The sequence below is a fragment of the Homo sapiens genome, chromosome 7 (genome assembly GCF_000001405.40).
Source record: "Homo sapiens chromosome 7, GRCh38.p14 Primary Assembly".
Classification (NCBI taxonomy): domain Eukaryota; kingdom Metazoa; phylum Chordata; class Mammalia; order Primates; family Hominidae; genus Homo; species Homo sapiens.
Genome location: NC_000007.14, coordinates 148308146 through 148328318, shown reverse-complemented (window position 1 = coordinate 148328318; position 20173 = coordinate 148308146). Strand labels below are relative to the sequence as shown.

The 20173-nt window shown below is 44.0% G+C and overlaps 1 protein-coding gene across 1 annotated transcript in view, besides 2 other annotated features; it reads right to left on the bottom strand.

The window, feature by feature from the left end:
- Nucleotides 1–20173, bottom strand: part of CNTNAP2 (contactin associated protein 2) — a 2304198-nt gene that overhangs the window by 92680 nt on the left and 2191345 nt on the right. The window lies entirely within an intron of this gene.
- Nucleotides 126–702: an enhancer, noted in NCBI's record as "H3K27ac-H3K4me1 hESC enhancer chr7:148024709-148025285 (GRCh37/hg19 assembly coordinates)". NCBI's record gives its function as "activates a minimal SCP1, AML or CMV promoter by ChIP-STARR-seq in naive H9 embryonic stem cells {active_cell/tissue: H9 hESC(naive)}" and the evidence as "EXISTENCE:reporter gene assay evidence [ECO:0000049][PMID:30033119]".
- Nucleotides 12517–13076: an enhancer, noted in NCBI's record as "OCT4-NANOG-H3K27ac hESC enhancer chr7:148012335-148012894 (GRCh37/hg19 assembly coordinates)". NCBI's record gives its function as "activates a minimal SCP1, AML or CMV promoter by ChIP-STARR-seq in primed H9 embryonic stem cells {active_cell/tissue: H9 hESC(primed)}" and the evidence as "EXISTENCE:reporter gene assay evidence [ECO:0000049][PMID:30033119]".

Below are 20173 nucleotides of genomic sequence, written 5' to 3'. Positions count from 1 at the left end.
AATCACACAGGATGCCTCCTGTGTCAGGCAGCCCTCCTCCAGCTTTCCCGGGCCAACAAGCTCCAGCCCCGGCACACCCCAGCCTTCCCCTCTCTCCACCTGAAAGCTTTCCCACTCCCCGCTTGCCTCAGAGTCTCTGCCAGGCACAAGTGACGATGGCTGACTCTCTTGCTACAGCAAGCTCTGAATAAATAGCCTCTGCGTGTTCTCATCTGGGTGGTCTTTATTTCCACACTTGTGCCTTAGAGGTTTCCTCAGAGCTCCTGGAATAAGATGCTGATGGAAGTCAGGGTTCTGGGAGATATGCCATTCCTTCACAACTTTCCAAGGCCCTAACTACCTTTGTCAAAACAGAAACCAGTGTCCTCAGGTGGACATTTTACCTGTAAACTCTGGATCAAGGTCAGAAGATCCATGTGAGTGGATCCAGTGTGGAGATGATTAGGTCTCCATGAGAAAGGGGTGGGGGCGGTGCAGGGCAGTGGGGGGATCTGTGATCCAGAGACCAGATTCTCTAATTCTGCTGTAATCCTTGAGTTTCCAGGCAATAGAAACCCATAGATTTTCAAAAGTAATAAATACAAAATATTCTACCCAAGTTAGGAGCAATTTGCAAGACAGTGAGTGTCTATTATAATACGGTTCTAGGAGACACATAATCCCACTTTGTGGTTTGGGGTAGTGGTAACAACACCTGTGACTCAGGTGTCTGGAATTTGAAGTTGGGTAATATGTCTTTGTCACTATTTACATGAGGGTGTGATTTGACTGGCCATGGAACAGAGGAATAAGGAGGCAATTTACAACAGGGTTTTTACAAAACAAGGTGTGTTCAATAGCACTTGATAGTTGCATTCTCTAAGTACATGGTGGTAATAGTAACAAGTTCAGTGAGGATGTTGGAAAGGGAGCATGCCAAGAGGAGGCTGCTGGCAAACAGCAAAACTCAGGGAGAAGTCGTCCAGCACTTGAGCTGAATTTTGAAATGCTAAAATAATTGTCCTTGGAAATCAACAGGCAAAGGTACATCATGTCGGAGCTACACTTATCACAGGGTAGATGGTGGCACATAGACTCAGGCGTCCACCAGGGTCAGTCCCCTGCAGGCCAGTCTAGCTGCCCACGGGCCACTGCAGCAGCCCCTGGGAGCAGTGAGGCCACCCTTCTCTGTGGGTTCATTCTTTTCAGTGGTAGGTATTTCACTCCTTCGTGTAATCTGCTAGGTGGTTGGGATGCAGCAACGTCCACAAGAAACTGGATGCTGCCAGGATGAGAAAGCCACTGCGAGCCCGTTGCAAACCTGGCTCTTCCAGAGGGGAGCACGTGTATGAGCAGAAGGAAGCTGCCTTGTTTACCTGGGTGTGAACACCAAAACTGTGGCCCACATCTGCCTTAAATCAACACAGCCCTACAGAGGTTCTTCATTCCATTTGCTCTATTTTTTTTTTTTTTTTGAGACGGGGTCTCGCTCTGTCGCTCAGGCTGGAGAGCAGTGGCACGATCTCGGCTCACTGCAAGCTCCATCTCCCTGATTCACGCCATTCTCCTGCCTCAGCCTCCCGAGTAGCTGGGACTACAGGTGCCCACCACCATGCCCGGCTAATTTTTGTATTTTTAGTAGAGACGGGGTTTCACCGTGTTGGCCAAGATGGTCTCGATCTCCTGACCTCATGATCCGCCCGCCTTGGCCTCCGAAAGTGCTGGGATTACAGGCGTGAGCCACCATGCCCGGCCCATTTGCTCTATTTATTTTCTTTCCTGAAGAGCTGCTTCCCCGTTTCAAATCCTTTCAAGAAGAGACTAGATTAGGAATGCTGGTTAGTTTGGTCCAGAATCATGGGAGTGAGGAGTGAGATGGCAAGATGGAAGGGCAGATGGTAACGAAGAGAGACCCCAAAAGGATGAGTAGAATTACATATAGAAAGCAATGTCTGTTTTATTGCAGAGGACAGATCATGGAAACCATACACAATGAAAAAACATCAGGACCCATAACCGAGAGGCCAGACTCTAAGATCCAGCTTCCCTCTGGATGATGGAAAAGATCCCCAAAGATGGTCCTGAGCGCCAAGCTCTCCCAAAGCATCTCAAAGACAGGGTCAAAGTAATGGAATTAGTATAACATTTCTCATTGTTGGCTGTACATTACAATCACCCAGAGAACTTAATGAAAAAAAAAAACCTGTTTGCATAGGTCCATTGAAACAGGCTCTCTTGGGTGCACTTGGGTGTCTGCAGGTTTTTAAAAGCTCCCCACGTGGCAGTAATTTGCAGTAAGGGTTGAGAGTCTCCAGGTTGGAGAAAGACAACAGGTAAGTCCAAAAACAGAAGGAGGTACTGGAGGGTATTTCACCTGGGGCATGCTCAGTCAGTCAGTAGAAGTTTACTAGCAGACACATGGCATCATGGTAGAGCCGTCCATGAACCTCTCTCTTTCCCCTTCCACGCTGTGCTCCTTGGGCCTGGGGAAGGAAATAGCCTCCCTGAAGTTCTTGGCTGTGTGGAGGAGGGTAGATGCCTGAAAATAACTGGGGTGCTATGAGGTAGGAGAAAGAGGAGCTGGCTGCTGGGAAGGCACCCACCAGCTTCTGCTATGTGCTAGCAGATTGACTAATCATGAAGTTTCCCCAACTTGCTAGTTTAAAAAGTTCTATGTTTACATGATACTACCTAAAAATAAATCTATTGGTTTGGGGTCATGGCTGGGCTGGAGACGCAGACATATGGCAGATAGTGCCTTTGGCCATCTCCTGTGCAACTCTCTGAATTAGATGCTGAAATGGTTTTCTATTGGAACTGAGAGTAGCTTGCATGGACAAGATTCTCCTTTATTTACTTCTGGAGACATTCTCCTAGGAGGGAAGAACAGCACCAGATGGTCTTTGTTAGTTGTGACTCACGTTCTTAAGTTAGACAAACAAATGAAGTTAAAAACTAGGTGGGTTCTGGAATCTCAGATTAAATCTATGCTTTTCCATCTGAAGGTCACACAAGGATAGGTCTTTATCATCTACTCTTAGATGTTTTTCTTACACTGTTTTTCTTACAAAACTACTTTTATAAACAGGCACTGAGGCCATAAACGTGAAAAGATGCTTAAATTTGTATTTAAGGAGATTCTATATTACTGCTTTCAAGGCTTTAGAATCTTATACAATAGAAAAGACAAAAATCTGTCCATTTATTTTACAAGAATGGCCTTGCTTGAGATCTGGCTTGCCATTGGCTAGCATATAGAATTTGCTATGTATGTTAAAAAGCTGATTCTGTAAACCGAGGTAATTAATCAGTTTGACACAGATATTTTCAATGGTTTCAACACAACTCAAAAGTAAGCGTTGTGGATTTTTAACCTTCTGCTCTGCCTGATTAGAATGGGTATGGCTTCTCAACAGTCTTAAATATTCTGCTTATAAATCAGTTCATTCATTCAATACATGTCCTATGTGTCTGACACTGTTATGGGTGCTGGGTATCTAGCATAGTACAAAACAGACCCAAATCCCTACTCTTTTTTTTTTTTTGAGATGGAGTCTTACTCTGTCACCCAAGCTGGAGTGCAGTGGCACGATCTTGGCTCATTGCAACCACATCCCAGGTTCAAGTGATTCTCCTGCCTCAGCCTCCTGGGTAGCTGGGATTACAGGCACCCGCCACCATGCCCAGCTAATTTTTGTATTTTTAATAGAGATGGGGTTTTGCCATGTTGGCCAGGCTGGTCTCGAACTCCTGACCTCAAATGACCCAACCGCCTTGGCCTCCTAAAGTGTTGAGATTACAGGCATGAGCCGCTGCGCCCGACCTCAGATCCCTACTCTCTTGAAATTACATTCTGGTGGGAGGAGAAGGGCCACAAACAATTTGGTGAAATGCATAGAATGCTTTGAAAATGTGAGTTATGGAGAAGAATAAGTCAGGGAAGAGGGATAGGGCATCATGCAGTGGGATTTGCAATTAAAAACAGTGGTCAAGGAAGGCCAGGAGAAGGTGACAGTTGAGTAAAGCTGTATGATGACTTTCCAGGGGGTGCCCAGGCCCCTTTGCTCCTGCTCCTCTGCCACTTTGTGGGTTCTTGCCTATGTATGATGCCTGGGACACATCACCTTCATTTGGAAAATTAAATGGGGTTTCAGAGGCCAGGTGTGGTGGCTCATGTCTGTAATCCTAGCACTTTGGGGGGCCGAAGTGGGTGGATCACCTGAGGTCAGGAGTTCGAGACCAGCCTGGCCAACATGGCAAAACCCCGTCTTTACTAAAAATACAAAAAATTAGTGGAGTGTGGTGGTGTGCACCTATAATCCCAGCTACTCGGGAGGCTGAGGCAGGAGAATCACTTGAACCCAGGAGGTGGAGGTTGCAGTGAGCCGAGATTGTACCACTGCACTCCAGCCTGGGCAAGAGTGAAACTCCGTCTCAAAAAAAAAAAAAAAAAAAAAATGGGGCTTCAGAGACAAGTCTCACTCAGTTTGAGAAACAGGCAGGCCGGAAAGGTTGACCCACAGACAGCAGAGAGGGGAGTGCCTCTTCACGCCTCCTCCCTCTTCACAGTTCCAGTGGTTTATTTTACTGTCCTCTAATTTCTGACCCACAAATGTTAGTGTTTTCAAGAGTTCACATTTATATAGCAGACACAGATGGTGACTATTAGATTTTAGTAAAGTGGATTGAAAACTATTCACATACAATTGAGGAAGAAGCAAGCTGTCCAACGGAGTTAGATGTAATGGGATGATTCATCTATGGACAAAGAAGAGGAACTCAAGAAAAGGGCCCAAATGTCAGGAATTCAATTCAATTTCTCTAACATTAACCAGACACTCTATACGGGTTCAGCAAAGTGAAAAGTAGGCATGGTGGGAAAATGAGGCAAACAATTAAAAAAAAAAAGTGTACTACCTCTTAGAATCATGCACAAAATACGTTTGTTAAAAAGTAATGTAAGAAATCCTAAAACTTTAAGTATAAAAAAAAAAGAATAAACCTAAATCACAATCTGAAAAAAAAAAAAAAAAAAAAAAAAAAAAGAAATCCATAATTGGGAAGCCATATGGCACAGAAGAAGGACCATGGATTTTTAAGCCAGTCGGTTCTGGGTCTGAACCACTATTATGACTGTCACTTGCTAGCTATGTGAACTTGGACTAGTTATTTAACCTTTATGAACCTCGGTTTCTTCTCACGTAAAATGGGGGTGATAGGACAGGATTGTCTGGATAAGAGGTAACATAGGTAAAGCATCTAACAACAGCACCAGGTATTATGGTGATTATAACAATAGTGATGTATTTATTATTCTTAGTCAAATGAATGCCACTAAGAATTTGATTTATAAGACTCAGAGATGGCAGAGATCTGAATGATTTGGCACATTTTTGGGGCGATTTCAGGAAGAGGACAAATTTCAACCTGGGCTTTGAAGGATGGATAGATTTTAGAAAAAGAGAATGATGAGGGGAAGTGGGGAAAGGTAGTCCCTGAATGAAACTTAGAAGTGAGGAAAAAATTTGAAAAAAAAAAAAAACCCCAAAAAACAACAAAACAAAACAAAACAAAACTACTTATTTAGGCAAGAGCTTGGAGAACGGCTTGAATGGAGGTCTTTGAAGTAGGAAAGGAGAAATAAGGTTGGATAAACTGATATATAACCAGATTGTGGATAGCTCAAAAGAATGTTAGATGTAAACATATTGCAGCAAAAAATTAACTCCTTGATCACAGACAAAACTATTAACTTTTTGATCCTAGACGTGCCCAAGTACAACTTTAAGAGAGGGCTATTTCTTTAGCATCCAGTTTTAGTTATATTAAAATCCACTTACAAAAGTTATCCTAGAGAGGTTAGATATAAGCATATACATGTTTACATCTAGAAGTATATTTCTATTTTATAACAAAAATTTGGTAGCTTATGGCTGCCATGCTCTAGCGGGAATATTTCTTATTACACTTGTTTCTCGAGTTTCCCTCAGAGTGTACGAGAGTGTGAAATGCCTAGCGTGGCAGAGGGAGTAGACCAATGTAGGTTGGCATATGGTTACAAGGCTTAGGCTTTCTTTCTTGATGGTTCCTCCCAAATTTTAAGAATTTACAGTTCTTGGCTGGGTGCGGTGGCTCACGCCTATAATACTAGCACTTTGGGAGGCCAAGGTGGGCGGATCCCCTGAGGTTAGGAGTTCGAGAGCAGCCTGGCCGACATGGTGAAACCTCCATTTCTACTAAAAATACAAAAAATTAGCCAGACGCAGTGGTGTGCGCCTGTAATCCCAGCTAGTTGGGGTGGGGGAGGGGGACGGGTGCTGAGGCATGAGAATCTCTTGAACCTGGGAGGTGGAGGTTGCAGTGAGCTGAGATCACGCCATTGCACTCCACACTCTAGCCTGGGTGACAGAGCGAGAATCCGTCTCAGAAAAAAAAAAAAAAAGAAGAATTTATAGTTCTAAGAACCTCAGCTAGAATTCTTTTGCAGTTCATATGTGATTACATATTTTTTCTTTCCTCTGTCTCTTTCCTCTCTTCTTTTACTCCAGAGTAATGTGCCTAGAAGGAGACAGTGCATCGAAGCAAGTTTACTCTCAGCATGTCAAGAAAACATTAAAATATTATTTGCCTGATGATTGCATTGGACACATTTTGTGAAATACATGAATCCCTCCTACCTGGGATGTCAAGAGACTGCTCTTTTGCTGGGAGAATGGACTGATCTTTTGCATCAGCTCAACGCTGCTTTTGGGGAGCCATTTTGGATACAATATATGTATTGCTTCCTTTAAATGGGAAATAACCATGGTCTGTCAACAAATAATCTTGTTTGATAAATCTGACCCAGATGGTGTGCTAGGTTGCAAAACCGTCTTCTTCTGCTTTGGAAAAACTCAGCTCTGTCCCTCCATCCCTCCCTCTGCCACCAGCCTCTGTCCACCCCCAAGCCCAGCTCCCTGATGGCAACAGTATAACCACTGAGGCTGAATCAGAGCCAAACCCTTTCCCTGCTGCTTTGAAGGTTTTTTTGTGCTGGATTTAGAATCCTACACTCAACACATTGGTTGGAATTCCTGATTTCCTTCTGCAAAGTCTCCTGCCTTCCTCACTGTACTCCACTGTTTGAAAAAAAAATTCAACATCTCTCCACTGCCTACCAAATAAAAGTCTAAATTCCTTAACCTGGTTCTTCGTGGCTTCACGGTCTAACCCCACTACTCTCCTTCACGTGTACCATCTATAGCCACACTTGCTACTTGGGGCTATTTCTAGTATTTGCATATGTTTCCTGGGTCTCTCTGGCCAGGCGCTCCTCTCATTATTAGAAGAAACCTCTCTTTACTCTGAAAGCGTATGTATCACATGAACTGCCAATTTACCAGTCTCTCCACTCATTGACGAATAGCCTACATTGACAAGTAGTATCTTGGATCATTAAGTCTTCAGGAATAGTTTATAATGCAATCAAAAGCATTTTAAGGAGGTTAAAACTATTCCTTCTTACTTTCCACTGGGTATTCAATTAATTTTTTTCATCTTTCTTAGTTTAGATTGTCAGTGTTTTAATGACAGTCAGCATGTCTGTTTCACCTTTGTTGTCACCACAGGGTCTAGCACAGGTGGGGTGGAATAGTGGGAACCTAAAAATTCTTTGTTGGCTGGGTGTGGTGGCTCACGCCTGTAATCCCAGCACTTTGGAAGGCGGAGGCGGGCGGATCACCTGAGGTCAGGAGTTTGAGACCAGCCTGGCCAACATGATGAAACCCCATCTCTACTAAAAATACAAAAATTAGCCGGGTATGGTGGTGCATGCTTGTAATCCCAGCTACTTGGGTGGCTGAGGCATGAGAATCACTTGAACCCAGGAGGCGGAGGGTGCCATGAGTGGAGATTGAGCCACTGCACTCCAACCTGGGTGACCTATGGAGACCCCATCTCAAAAAAAAAAAAAAAAAAAAAAAAAGAAAAAAAAATTCTTTGTTAGGTCTCAGCTCTCCACCCTGGATCTACCACTAACTGCCACTGCCCATAGTCCAGTGCCAAAGAGAAGAAAAAAACAGGCAAACAAAAAATTCTACAGAGAATGAGACTGACATATTCTGCAAGATCTGACTATAGCCTCCTAAACCCTAGTGATTGGTGACACGGCCCAGGCAGGAAACTGTACATCAGCCCTGGGAGGGTAGCACAGCCATCAGCAACTCGAATGCAGCCATATTGGCCTAGAAAGCTTTGGGGCAGAAGTTGGGGAATTAAGGCAATGTGGTTCCCTTCTCCATATGAAAAGGAAATGCGCTCATTAAAATACATAATCACAAGAATGCAGTTCTACCTAGCAGAGTGGTCTGCAATCTTTTTGGCACCAGGGACCAGTCTTGCAGAAGACAGCTTTTCCGTGGACTAGGGGAGTAGGGGATGGTTTTGGGATGATTCAAGCACATTGCATTTATTATGCACTTTATTTCTATTATTATTATTACATTGTAATATATAATGAAATAACTATACAACTTACTATAATGCAGAATCAAGGGGAGCCCTGAGCTTGTTATCCTGCAACTAGATGGTCCCATCTCAGGGGTGATGGGAGATACTGACAGATCATCAAGCATTAGATTCTCATAAGGAGTGTGCAACCTAGATCCCTCGCATGCACAGTACACAATCGGGTTTGTGCTCCTATGAGAATCTAGTGTTGCTGCCGAGCTGACAGAAGGTGGAGCTCAGGTGGTAATGCGAGCCATGGGGAGCAGTTGTAAACACATATGAAGCTTCAATTGCGTGTCTGCCATTCACCTCCTGCTGTGTGGCCTGGTTCCTAACAGGCCACGGTAGGTGTCCATGGCCCTAGGTTGGTGACCCCTGACCTAGCAGACTGATTGTATTCACAAGGTTTTTAAGATGATGAAATAAACCTTGGAGTAGTGAAAAAACAAAGAGTTTTGATATCTTAATAATTTTTATATTGAAAAATTATAAAAATTTCCCTCAAATTCACTTTTATGATAAAGATATAGGATCACAATATGATGATCTTTTCTATGAGATGTTAGTCACAATCTATTTTGCCAGAATAAAATATACAAGAGTCTTCATGAAATATAAAGGGAAAAGTACTTAATTACAGAGTGTATTTTCCAGGCATCATTACTGTCTAGCATATTATTAAACACAAAGTTGACTCAATCGATATGCTTTCTTATCTATGTTAATAGCTGATTTATCAGTCACTCCACTCATGGACAAATGGCCTACATTGACAAAGAGTATCTTAGGTCATAAATTCTTCAGGAATAGCTTGTAATGCAATCAAAAGCAGTGCTTCATGGGGAAGTTGTTAAACTTTCAGGAGAAGAGGTTGTAATTCCTTTCCCAATGTTTTGATTACTGATAACTTTGAAAATGTAGGCCAGAATTGGTAAGCTGAGTTAATAGGAGAGCAGGTTTATTCCTTTGATCTGTTCTTTTCTGACCATCATTCCATTGCAGAGAAAGAGAGCGGTGTTCCTCTTTTCTCTCTGCCCTCTCATAATAAATCCCCTTGTCACATGGAGATTGAAACTCAAGAGCCGGTTGGTTGTAGAATCTTGATGAGTTTGTAGCTCCTAATGGAGGGAAATATGTAATTATCCATTCGGACCACGAAACTCATTTGCAAAGGTTAACAGTGTTCCTACAATTTACATGCCATGCCACCTGCTTTGTTAAAAGCATGCCTAATTTGAATGCTTTTGGGTAGGTGGGACTATCCAGGTTCCAAGCTGTCCAAACACCTAGTGAGAAACACCAAAACCAGTTTAGGAAGTTTTTGGCCCTTTGGGATTCACTGAACAATCAATCTGACTCATACCTTGCTTGCTTTTTGTTTTCTCAGATGCCCCCAGATAGTAGCTCTTCCCTTCCTCTTGTTTACTGCCTATTTATTAGGCAAAAAAATCACACACGCTTCACAGATGTGTTATGCTCATTAACACCCATCATATGCACATTGAAGGGTGTGAACATTCGCATTGCTAATGAAATGAGAATGGCGAGAGGCAGGGCAAGCCAAGCAGGCGACAGCCGGGTGACTTCTCTGCAGGGGGCGGTTTGATGGATGTGGATTGTGAGCCAACTAGCTCAGGTATCTTTCACAGTAACTGATGGGCCTGCAAGAAACTCTCCTGATTCTAAGATCTAGGCTCTATCAGAGGCAGATCCTCAAGAGTAGTAGGCATCCCAGCCAACCTCCCAAGAAAAGCATTCCAAAAGGAGAAGGGTCTGAATGAGACTTTGATGAAAGGGCCATCTCTCCGGGATAAAGAAGCATGCTTGCCACCACCTTGGAGGAAGATGGATTTAGAAATGAGCTCAGGGCAGGGCCGGGCACGGAGGCTCACGCCTGTAATCCCAGCACTTTGGGAGGCCGAGTTAGGCGGATCACGAGGTCAGGAGATTGAGACCATGGTGAATCCCCGTCTCTACTAAAAATACAAAAAATTAGCCGGGCGTGGTGCCTGTAGTTCCAGCTACTCAGGAGGCTGAGGCAGGACAATGGCATGAACCCGGGAGGCGGAGCTTGCAGTGAGCCGAGATCGCACCACTGCACTTCAGCCTGGGCGAAAGAGCAAGACTCCGTCTAAAAAAAAAAAAGAAATGAGCTCAGGGCAACCAAGACCTTATCTACTGTTACAGCAAACTTGTGCTGTGAACTCTAGGAGGTGTGAATCCCACGTGGGCTCTAACATTGCTTTGATACTAAGATCAGTAACAGGACTGCAGTTTACTTTAATAAGACTGGTCCTTTTTTAATTAAAAATATTTTTTTGGAGACTGGAGTCTTGCTGTCCTGCCCAGGCTGATCTTGAACTCCTGGCCTCAAGTAGCCCTCCCATCTCAGCCTTCCAAAGCATTAGGATTACAGGCATGAGCCTCAGCACTTGGCCTGATTCTTGATTTCTAGTATGCTTCCTCAAAAGAATAATACCATGAATTTTTTTTTTTTGAGATGGAGTTTCATTCTTGTTGCCCAGGCTGAAGTGCAATGGCATGATCTCAGCCCATTGCAAACTCTGCCTCCTGGGTTCAAGTAATTCTCCTGCCTCAGTCTCCCGAGTAGCTGGGATTACTGGCATGTGCCACCACGCCTGGCTAATTCTGTATTTTTTGTAGAGACAGAGTTTCACCATGTTGGTCAGGATGGTCTCAAACTCCTGACCTCAGGTGATCTGCCCACCTCGGCCTCCCAAAGTGCTGGGATTACAGGCGAGAGCCACTGTGCCTGGCTGGCATCATACTTTTTAAATTGCTGCTTCTTTACTGTCAGGCAGGGGGATGGCATCTATCATTATGCAAATACATTTGGGACCTATGGAGTTTTTAATGACCCCGTGGGGCTTCAGAAAAAATACAGATTGCCAAATGAGGCTGAACTATTCCAGATAAATGGATTGGGAATGGCAGCTCCACATTGTTTATTTGTTTATTTGCTGTCTTAAAGTGAATTGTCTTTTCTCGCTGAGTCTTTAATAATATATACACTGGTGCCTCCAGAGAGAGCTATTTGGGATCTTTGGTTCCCTGCAAAATGAGATCGCAATAGGATTTTTGACTTCTCACATCTTTCTATTTATCTGCCCTCTTGCCAATATGCATCTAGCTGCCTGTTCTTACTGTGATTGATATTTTTACTTCTATTCCTTCTAGAACATTCTACTAATTTGTGTTGGATCTTGCAAGGGCTAGGAAACCAGTTAATGATTTCTATTAGAACTTTGCATAAAATAGGTGTAAATAAGGCCTGTGCGGGTATTATTTGTGCCTACCTAGTTTTCTCCCTCTGAGATCCTCACATCCCCATTAGGCACCACGTAAATATATAATTCCTTCCTAGAGTCTGGTGCCAATTATGACTGTGGGCAGTAGGGATTTACCTTGCTGATGGTCATGCTCTGAATCTGACACAGTCTTCCTGCAGTCTTGGCAGCCAGCTTCCCATTTCTTTTTTTTTTAATATATTTTTATTATACTTTAAGTTCTAAGGTACATGTGCACAACGTGCAGGTTTGTTACATATGTATACATGTGCTATGTTGGTGTGCTGCACCCATTAACTTGTCATTTACATTAGGTATATCTCCTAATGCTATTCCTCCCCCCATGAAGCCAGCTTCCCATTTTTAATCCCAGTTGCTCTATGTAGATTGTTAACCTCTCCCTTATTCTGAAAACCCCTGGGTGTTCAGGACTGGGTTCCTGCCATGTTCTTGCCATCTATTTTTTTTCCCTCTATCTTTTTTTCCTTCCCTAACAATGAATATTCTCTTTGACTTAAGAAGGATGCTCAGGAGAGAGCAATCAGTACTAAGTCCGGCAAAAAGTAGGATCTCAGCATGTGTTTGTTAAATGAAAGCATAAATAATATATATGAATATACTCCAGCCTAGACATTACTCTCAGAAGCTGTACATTGTTGAAAGAACACATTTTGTCTTAACCATAGGTGTTTATATAAAAAAGTCTGTAGGGAATTTGGTCAAGTGGTAGGCAAAGCAGGACTTATAAAACCCAAGCACATTTATGAAAACCAAAATTTCCAAGAATGTGGCTTTATCAAGGCATTCTCATTAGGCTAGAAAGGTAACTGATAGGTTTAAAATATCAACAAAGATATAATCCATAAATGTTTCTGATTATTTATTCCTGCTACTATTCTGTCTATAACCAGAGCAATTAACAACATTTTTGTCAGGCCTCTGAGCCCAAGCTAAGCCATCATTTCCTGTGACCTGCATGTACACATCCAGATGGCCGGTTCCTGCCTTAACTCATGACATTCCACTACAAAAGAAGTGAAAATGGCCTGTTCCTGCCTTAACTGATGACATTATCTTGTGAAATTCCTTCTCCTGGCTCATCCTGGCTCAAAAGCTCCCCTACTGAGCACCCTGTGACCCCCACTCCTGCCCGCCAGAGAACAACCCCCCTTTGACTGTAATTTTCCTTTACCTACCCAAATCTTATAAAACGGCCTCACCCCTATCTCCCTTTGCTGACTCTCTTTTTGGACTCAGCCTGCCTGCACCCAGGTGAAATAAACAGCCTTGTTGCTCACACAAAGCCTGTTTGGTGGTCTCTTCACATGGACGCAAGTGAAATTTGGTGCTGTGACTCGAATCAGGGGATCTTCCTTAGGAGATCAATCCCCTGTCCTCCTGCTCTTTGGTCTGTGAGAAAGATCCACCTACGACCTCTGGTCCTCAGACCAACCAGCCCAAGGAACATCTCACCAATTTTAAATCCAGTAAGCGGCCTCTTTTTACTCTCTTCTCCAACCTCTCTCACTATCCCTCAACCTCTTTCTCCTTTCAATCTTGGTGCCACACTTCAATCTCTCCCTTCTCTTAATTTCAGTTCCTTTCCTTTTCTGGTAGAGACGAAGGAGACACGTTTTATCTGTGGACCCAAAACTCCGGCACCGGTCACGGACTGGGGAAGACAGTCTTCCCTTGGTGTTTAATCACATGGGGACGCCTGCCTGATTATTCACCCACATTTCAGAGGCATCTGACCACACGGGGACGCCTGCCTTGGTCCTTCACCCTTAGTGGCAAGTACCGCTTTTCTGGAGGGCAAGAACCCCCTAACCCCTTCTCTCCATGTCTCTACCCCTTCTCTGCTTTTCTGGGGGGCAAGAACCCCCCAACTCCTTCTCCTTCACCCTCAGCGGCAAGTACCGCTTTTCTAGGGGGCAAGAACCCCCCGACCCCTTCTCTCCATGTCTCTACTTGCTCTTTTCTCTGGGCTTGCCTCCTTCACTATGGGCAAGCTTCCACCCTCCATTCCCCCTTCTTCTCCCTTAGCCTGTGTTCTTAAAAACCTAAAACCTCTTCAACTCACACCTGACCTAAAACCTAAATGCCTTATTTTCTTCTGCAATGCCGCTTGACCCCAGTACAAACTTGACAGTGGTTCCAAATAGCCAGAAAATGGCACTTTCAATTTTTCCATCCTACAAGATCTAAATAATTCTTGTCATAAAATAGGCAAATGGTCTGAGGTGCCTGACATCCAGGCACTCTTTTACACATCGGTCCCTCCCTAGTCTCTGTTCCCAATGCAACTTGTCCCAAATCTTCCTTCTTTCCCTCCCACCTGTCCCCTTAGTCCCAACCCCAAGTGTCGCTGAGTCTTTCTAATCTTCCTTTTCTACAGACCCATCTGACCTCTCCCCTCCTTGCCAGGTCGAGCTAGGTTCCAATTCTTCCTCAGCCTCCACTCCTCCACCCTACAATCCTTTTATCATCTCCCCTCCTCACACCCAGTCCGGCTTACAGTTTCGTTCAGTGACAAGCTCTCCCCAACCTGCCCAGCAATTTCCTCTTAAAAAGGTGGCTGGAGCTAAAGGCATAGTCAAGGTTAATGCTCCTTTTCCTTATCCCAAATCAGATAGCATTTAGGCTCTTTTTCATCAAATATAAAAACCCAGTCCAGTTCATGGCTTGTTTGGCAGCAACCCTGAGACGCTTTATAGCCCTAGACCCTAAAAGGTCAAAAGGCCGTCTTATTCTCAATATACATTTTATTACCCAATCTGCTCCCGACATTAAATAAACTCCAAAAATTAAATTCCGGTGCTCAGACCCCACAACAGGACTTAATTAACCTTGCCTTCAAGGTGTACAATAATAGAGTAGAGGCAGCCAAGTAGCAATGTATTTCTGAGTTGCAATTCCTTGCCTCCACTGTGAGACAAACCCCAGCCATATCTCCAGCACACAAGAACTCCAAACGCCTGAACTGCAGCTGCCAGGGATTCCTCCAGAACCTTCTCCCCCGGGAGCTTGCTACAAGTGCTGGAAATCTGGCCACTGGGCCAAGGAATGCCCGCAGCCCAGGATTCCTCCTAAGCCATGTCCCATCTGTGCGGGACCCCACTGAAAATCGGACTGTTCAACTCACCTGGCAGCCACTCCCAGAGCCCCTGGAACTCTGGCCTAAGGCTCTCTGACTCCTTCCCAGATCTTCTTGGCTTAGTGGCTGAAGACGGACGCTGCCCGATCACCTCGGAAGCCCCCTAGACTATCACGGATGCCGATCTTCTGGTAATTCTCACAGTGGAGAGCAAGTCTGTCCCCTTCTTAATCAATATGGAGGCTACCCACTCCACATTACCTTCTTTTCAAGGGCCTGTTTCCCTTGCCTCCGTAACTGTTGTGGGTATTGATGGCCAGGCTTCTAAACCTCTTAAAACTCCCCAACTCTGGTGCCAACTTAGACAATACTCTTTTAAGCACTCCTTTTTAGTTATCCCCAACCTGCCCAGTTCCCTTATTAGGCCGAGACACTTTAACTAAATTATCTGCTTCCCTGACTATTCCTGGGCTACAGCCACACCTCATTGCCACCTTTTCCCCCAGTTCAACGCCTCCTTCACATCCCCCCCACTTGTATCTCCCCACCTTAACCCACAAGTATAGGACACCACTACTCCCTCCTTAGCGACCGATCATGCACCCCTTACCATCCCATTAAAACCTAATCACCCTTACCCCCTCAATGCCAATATCCCATCCCACAGCATGCTTTAAAAGGATTAAAGTCTGTTATCACTTGCCTGTTACAGCATGGCCTTTTAAAGCCTATAAACTCCCCTTACAATTCCCCCATTTTACCTGTCCTAAAACCAGACAAGGCTTACAGGTTAGTTCAGGATCTGCGCCTTATCAACCAAATTGTTTTGCCTATCCACCCTGTGGTGCCAAACCCATATACTCTCCTATCCTCAATACTTCCCTCCACAACCCATTATTCTGTTCTGGATCTCAAACATGCTTTCTTTACTATTCCTTTGCACCCTTCATCCCAGCCTCTCTTTGCTTTCACTTGGACTGACCCTCACACCCATCAGGCTCAGCAAATTACCTGGGCTGTACTGCCGCAAGGCTTCACAGACAGCTCCCATTACTTCAGTCAAGCCCAAATTTCTTCCTCATCTGTTACCTGTCTCAGCATAATTATCATAAAAACACACGTGCTTTCCCTGCTGATCGTGTCTGGCTAATCTCCCAAACCCCAATCCCTTCTACAAAACAACAATTCCTTTCCTTCCTAGGCATGGTTAGTGCGGTCAGAATTCTTACACAAGAGCCGGGACAGCACCCTGTAGCCTTTCTGTCCAAACAACTATGACCTTACTGTTTTAGCCTAGCCCTCATGTCTGCATGCAGCTGCTGCCACTGCTTTAATACTTTTAGAGGCCCAAAAAATCACAAACTGTGTTAAACTCACTGTCTACAGTTCTCATAACTTCCAAGATCTATTTTCTTTCTCCCACCTGATGCATATACTTTCTGCTCCCCGGCTCCTTCAGGTGTACTCACTCTTTGTTGAATCTCCCACAATTACCATTGTTCCTGGCCCAGACTTCAATCCGGCCTCACACAGTATTCCAGATACCACACCTGACCCCTATGACTGTATCTCTCTGATCCACTTGACATTCACCCCATTTCCCCGTATTTCCTTCTTTCCTGTTCCTCACCCTGAACACACTTGGTTTATTGATGGCAGTTCCACCAGGCCTAATCGCCACACACCAGCAAAGGCAGGCTATGCTATAGTACAAGCCACTAGCCTGCCTCTTAGAACCTCTCATTTTCTTTCCATCGTGGAAATCTATCCTCAAGGAAGTAACTTCTTCCATCTGCTATTCTGCTACTCTTCAGGGATTATTCAGGCCCCCTCCCTTCCCTACACATCAAGCTCGAGGATTTGCCCCCGCCCAGGACTGGCAACTCTTAACTCCCTCTTAGAGTGGATAGATGATCTTTGCTGGCAGGGGACCCTCCAGTACTTTCACCCTGACGAAGTTCTATTCTTTACTTTTATACTCACTTTTATTCTCATTCCCATTCCTCTGCCACCCTCTACCTCTCCCCAGCTATCTCCACCACGCTATCAACCTTACTCATTCTCTCCTAGCCGTTTCTAATCCCTCCTTAGCAAACAACCACTGGCTTTGCATTTCCCTTTCTTCCAGGGCCTACACAGTTGTCCCCACCTTACATGCAGACTAGGCAACACCTCCTGTCTCCCTACACCTCCAGACTTCCTTTAACAGCCCTCACTTTTACCCTCCTGAAGAACTCATTTACTTTCTAGACAGGTCCAGCAAGACCTCCCCAGACATTTCACATCAGCAAGCTGCCACCCTCCTCCACACTTACTTGAAAAACCTTTCTCCTTATATCAACTCTACTCCCCCCATATTTAGACCTCTCACAACACAAACTACTATTCCTGTGGCCGCTCCTTTATGTATCTCTCAGCAAAGACCTACTGGAATTCCCTTAGGTAATCTTTCACCTTCTCGATGTTCCTTTACTCTTCATCTCCAAAGCCCTCTTCTTGTTTACTTATACCCAGCCCCGAAAATAACAGTGAAAGGTTGCTCGTAGATACTCAACGTTTTCTCACACACCATGTAAATCGAACCTCCCCCTCTACGCAGTTACTTCATCAATCCCCATTACAACCTCTGACGGCTGCCACCCTAGCTGGATACCTAGGAGTCTGGGTACAAGACACCCCTTTCAGCACTGCTTCTCTTTACTTTGCATCTCCAGTTTTGCCTCGCACAAGGTCTCTTCGTCTGTGGATCCTCTACCTACATGTGTCTACCTGCTAATTGGACAGGCACATGCACACTAGTCTTCCTTACCCCCAAAATTCAATTTGCAAATAGGACCGAAGAGCTCCCTGTTCCCCTCATGACACCGACACGACAAAAAAGAGTTATTCCACTAATTCCCTTGCTTGTCGGTTTAGGACTTTCTGCCTCTACTATTGCTCTCGGTACTGGAATAGCAGGCATTTCAACCTCTGTCACGACCTTCCGTAGCCTCTCTAATGACTTCTCTGCTAGCATCACAGACATATCACAAACTTTATCAGTCCTCCAGGCCCAAGTTGACTCTTTAGCTGCAGTTGTCCTCCAAAACCGCTGAGGCCTTGACTTACTCACTGCTGAAAAAGGAGGACTCTGTATATTCTTAAATGAAGAGTGTTGTTTTTACCTAAATCAATCTGGCCTGGTGTATGACAACATAAAAAACTCAAGGATAGAGCCCAAAAACTTGCCAACCAAGTAAGTAATTATGCTGAACCCCCTTGGACACTCTCTAGTTAGATGTCCTAGGTCCTCCCAATTCTTAGTCTTTTAATACCTGTTTTTCTCCTTCTCTTATTCCGTATAGTTTTTCAATTTATACAAAATCGTATCCAGGCCATCACCAATAATTCTACACTACAAATGTTTCTTCTAACAACCCCACAATATCACCCCTTACCACAAAATCTTCCTTCAGCTTAATCTCTCCCACTCTAGGTTCCCATGCCGCCCCTAATCCCGCTCGAAGCAGCCCTAAGAAACATCGCCCATTATCTCTCCATACCACCCCCCAAAATTTTTGCCGTCCCAACACTTTACCACTATTTCATTTTATTTTTCTTACTAATATAAGAAGACAGGAATGTCAGGCCTCTGAGCCCAAGGCTAAGCCATCATATCCCCTGTGACCTGCACGTATACATCCAGATGGCCGGTTCCTGCCTTAACTCATGACATTCCACCACAAAAGAAGTGAAAATGGCCTGTTCATGCCTTAACTGATGACATTATCGTGTGAAATTCCTTCTCCTGGCTCATCCTGGCTCAAAAGCTCCCCTACTGAGCACCCTGTGACCCCCACTCCTGCCACCAGCGAATAACCCCCCTTTGACTGTAATTTTCCTTTACTTACCCGAATCTTATAAAATGGCCCCACCCCATCTCCCTTTGCTGACTCTCTTTTTGGACTCAGCCCGCCTGCACCCAGGTGAAATAAACAGCCTTGTTGCTCACACAAAGCCTGTTTGGTGGTCTCTTCACACAGACGTGAGTGAAAATTTTCATCTCGACTGAAGGCTTTGGTTCAAATAAAATGAGTTCCCAATTGCAAGCCTAAAGGCAAAGGAAACAATGTTGTTCAGGCATGAATCACTGTGAAGGTCATTGTGTGTGACAGTTGTGTAGGGGGCTGGATGTGAACTACATACAATAGTCTTATCATTCAACAAACAAATGTGCTTAAAGAATCAATGCACTTAAACTCATTACTGCAATGTTTCCCTGTATAGAGAAGAATTCCTCTAGAAAATCTAGGCTTTGTGGAGATTCCTCAAGAATCTAGAACCAGAAATACCATTTGACCCAGCAATCCCATTACTGGCTATATACCCAAAGGATTATAAGTCATTCTACTATAAAGACACATGCACATGTATGTTTATTGCGGCACTATTCACAATAGCAAAGAGTTGGAACCAACCCAAATGCCCATCAATGATAGAATGGATAAAGAAAATGTGGCACATATACACCATGGAACACTATGCAGCCATAAAAAAGGATGAGTTCACGTCCTTTGCAGGGACTTGGATGAAGCTGGAAACCATCATTCTCAGCAAACTAACCCAAGAACAGAAAACCAAACACTGCATGTTCTCACTCACAGGTGGGAGCTGAACAATGAGAACACATGGACATAGGGAGGGGGACATCACACACCGGGGCCTATTGGGGGGTGGGAGGGCTAGGGGAGGGATAGCATTAGGAGAAATACCTAATGTAGATGACAGGTTGATGGGTACAGCAAACCACCATGGCACGTGTATACCTATGTAACAAAACTGCACGTTCCGTACATGTACCCCAGAACTTAAAGTATAATAAATAAATAAATAAATAAATAAATAAATAAATAAATACATAAATAGGTTAAAATGGAAAAAAATAAAATCTAGGCTTTTAAACTAGATTTCAAACTTCTAAAATTGGATCTACTTTTTAAAAAATGCCAATTTAAAAATGGCACAGATGTGTAGGTACATTCGTTCTTAGCCATGGATACGGACAAATCATTGGTTAAGCTTTCTGTAGTTGTTGAGAATACAGTTGATTATGAAGTTTCTCTTAAACTCTTTGTTTTTTTCCAAGTTTTCTGCAGTGAACATGTATTAATGTTATAATTGTAATTATATTTACATATAATTATATGTAATCCTATGACATATAATTCATACACAACTATATATAATTTTATATTCTCTCCAGAGCATTTCTTCTTAAAGCAAGAAGAAAATTCACTGCGTGGGAGGAAAAACCTAGTATTAA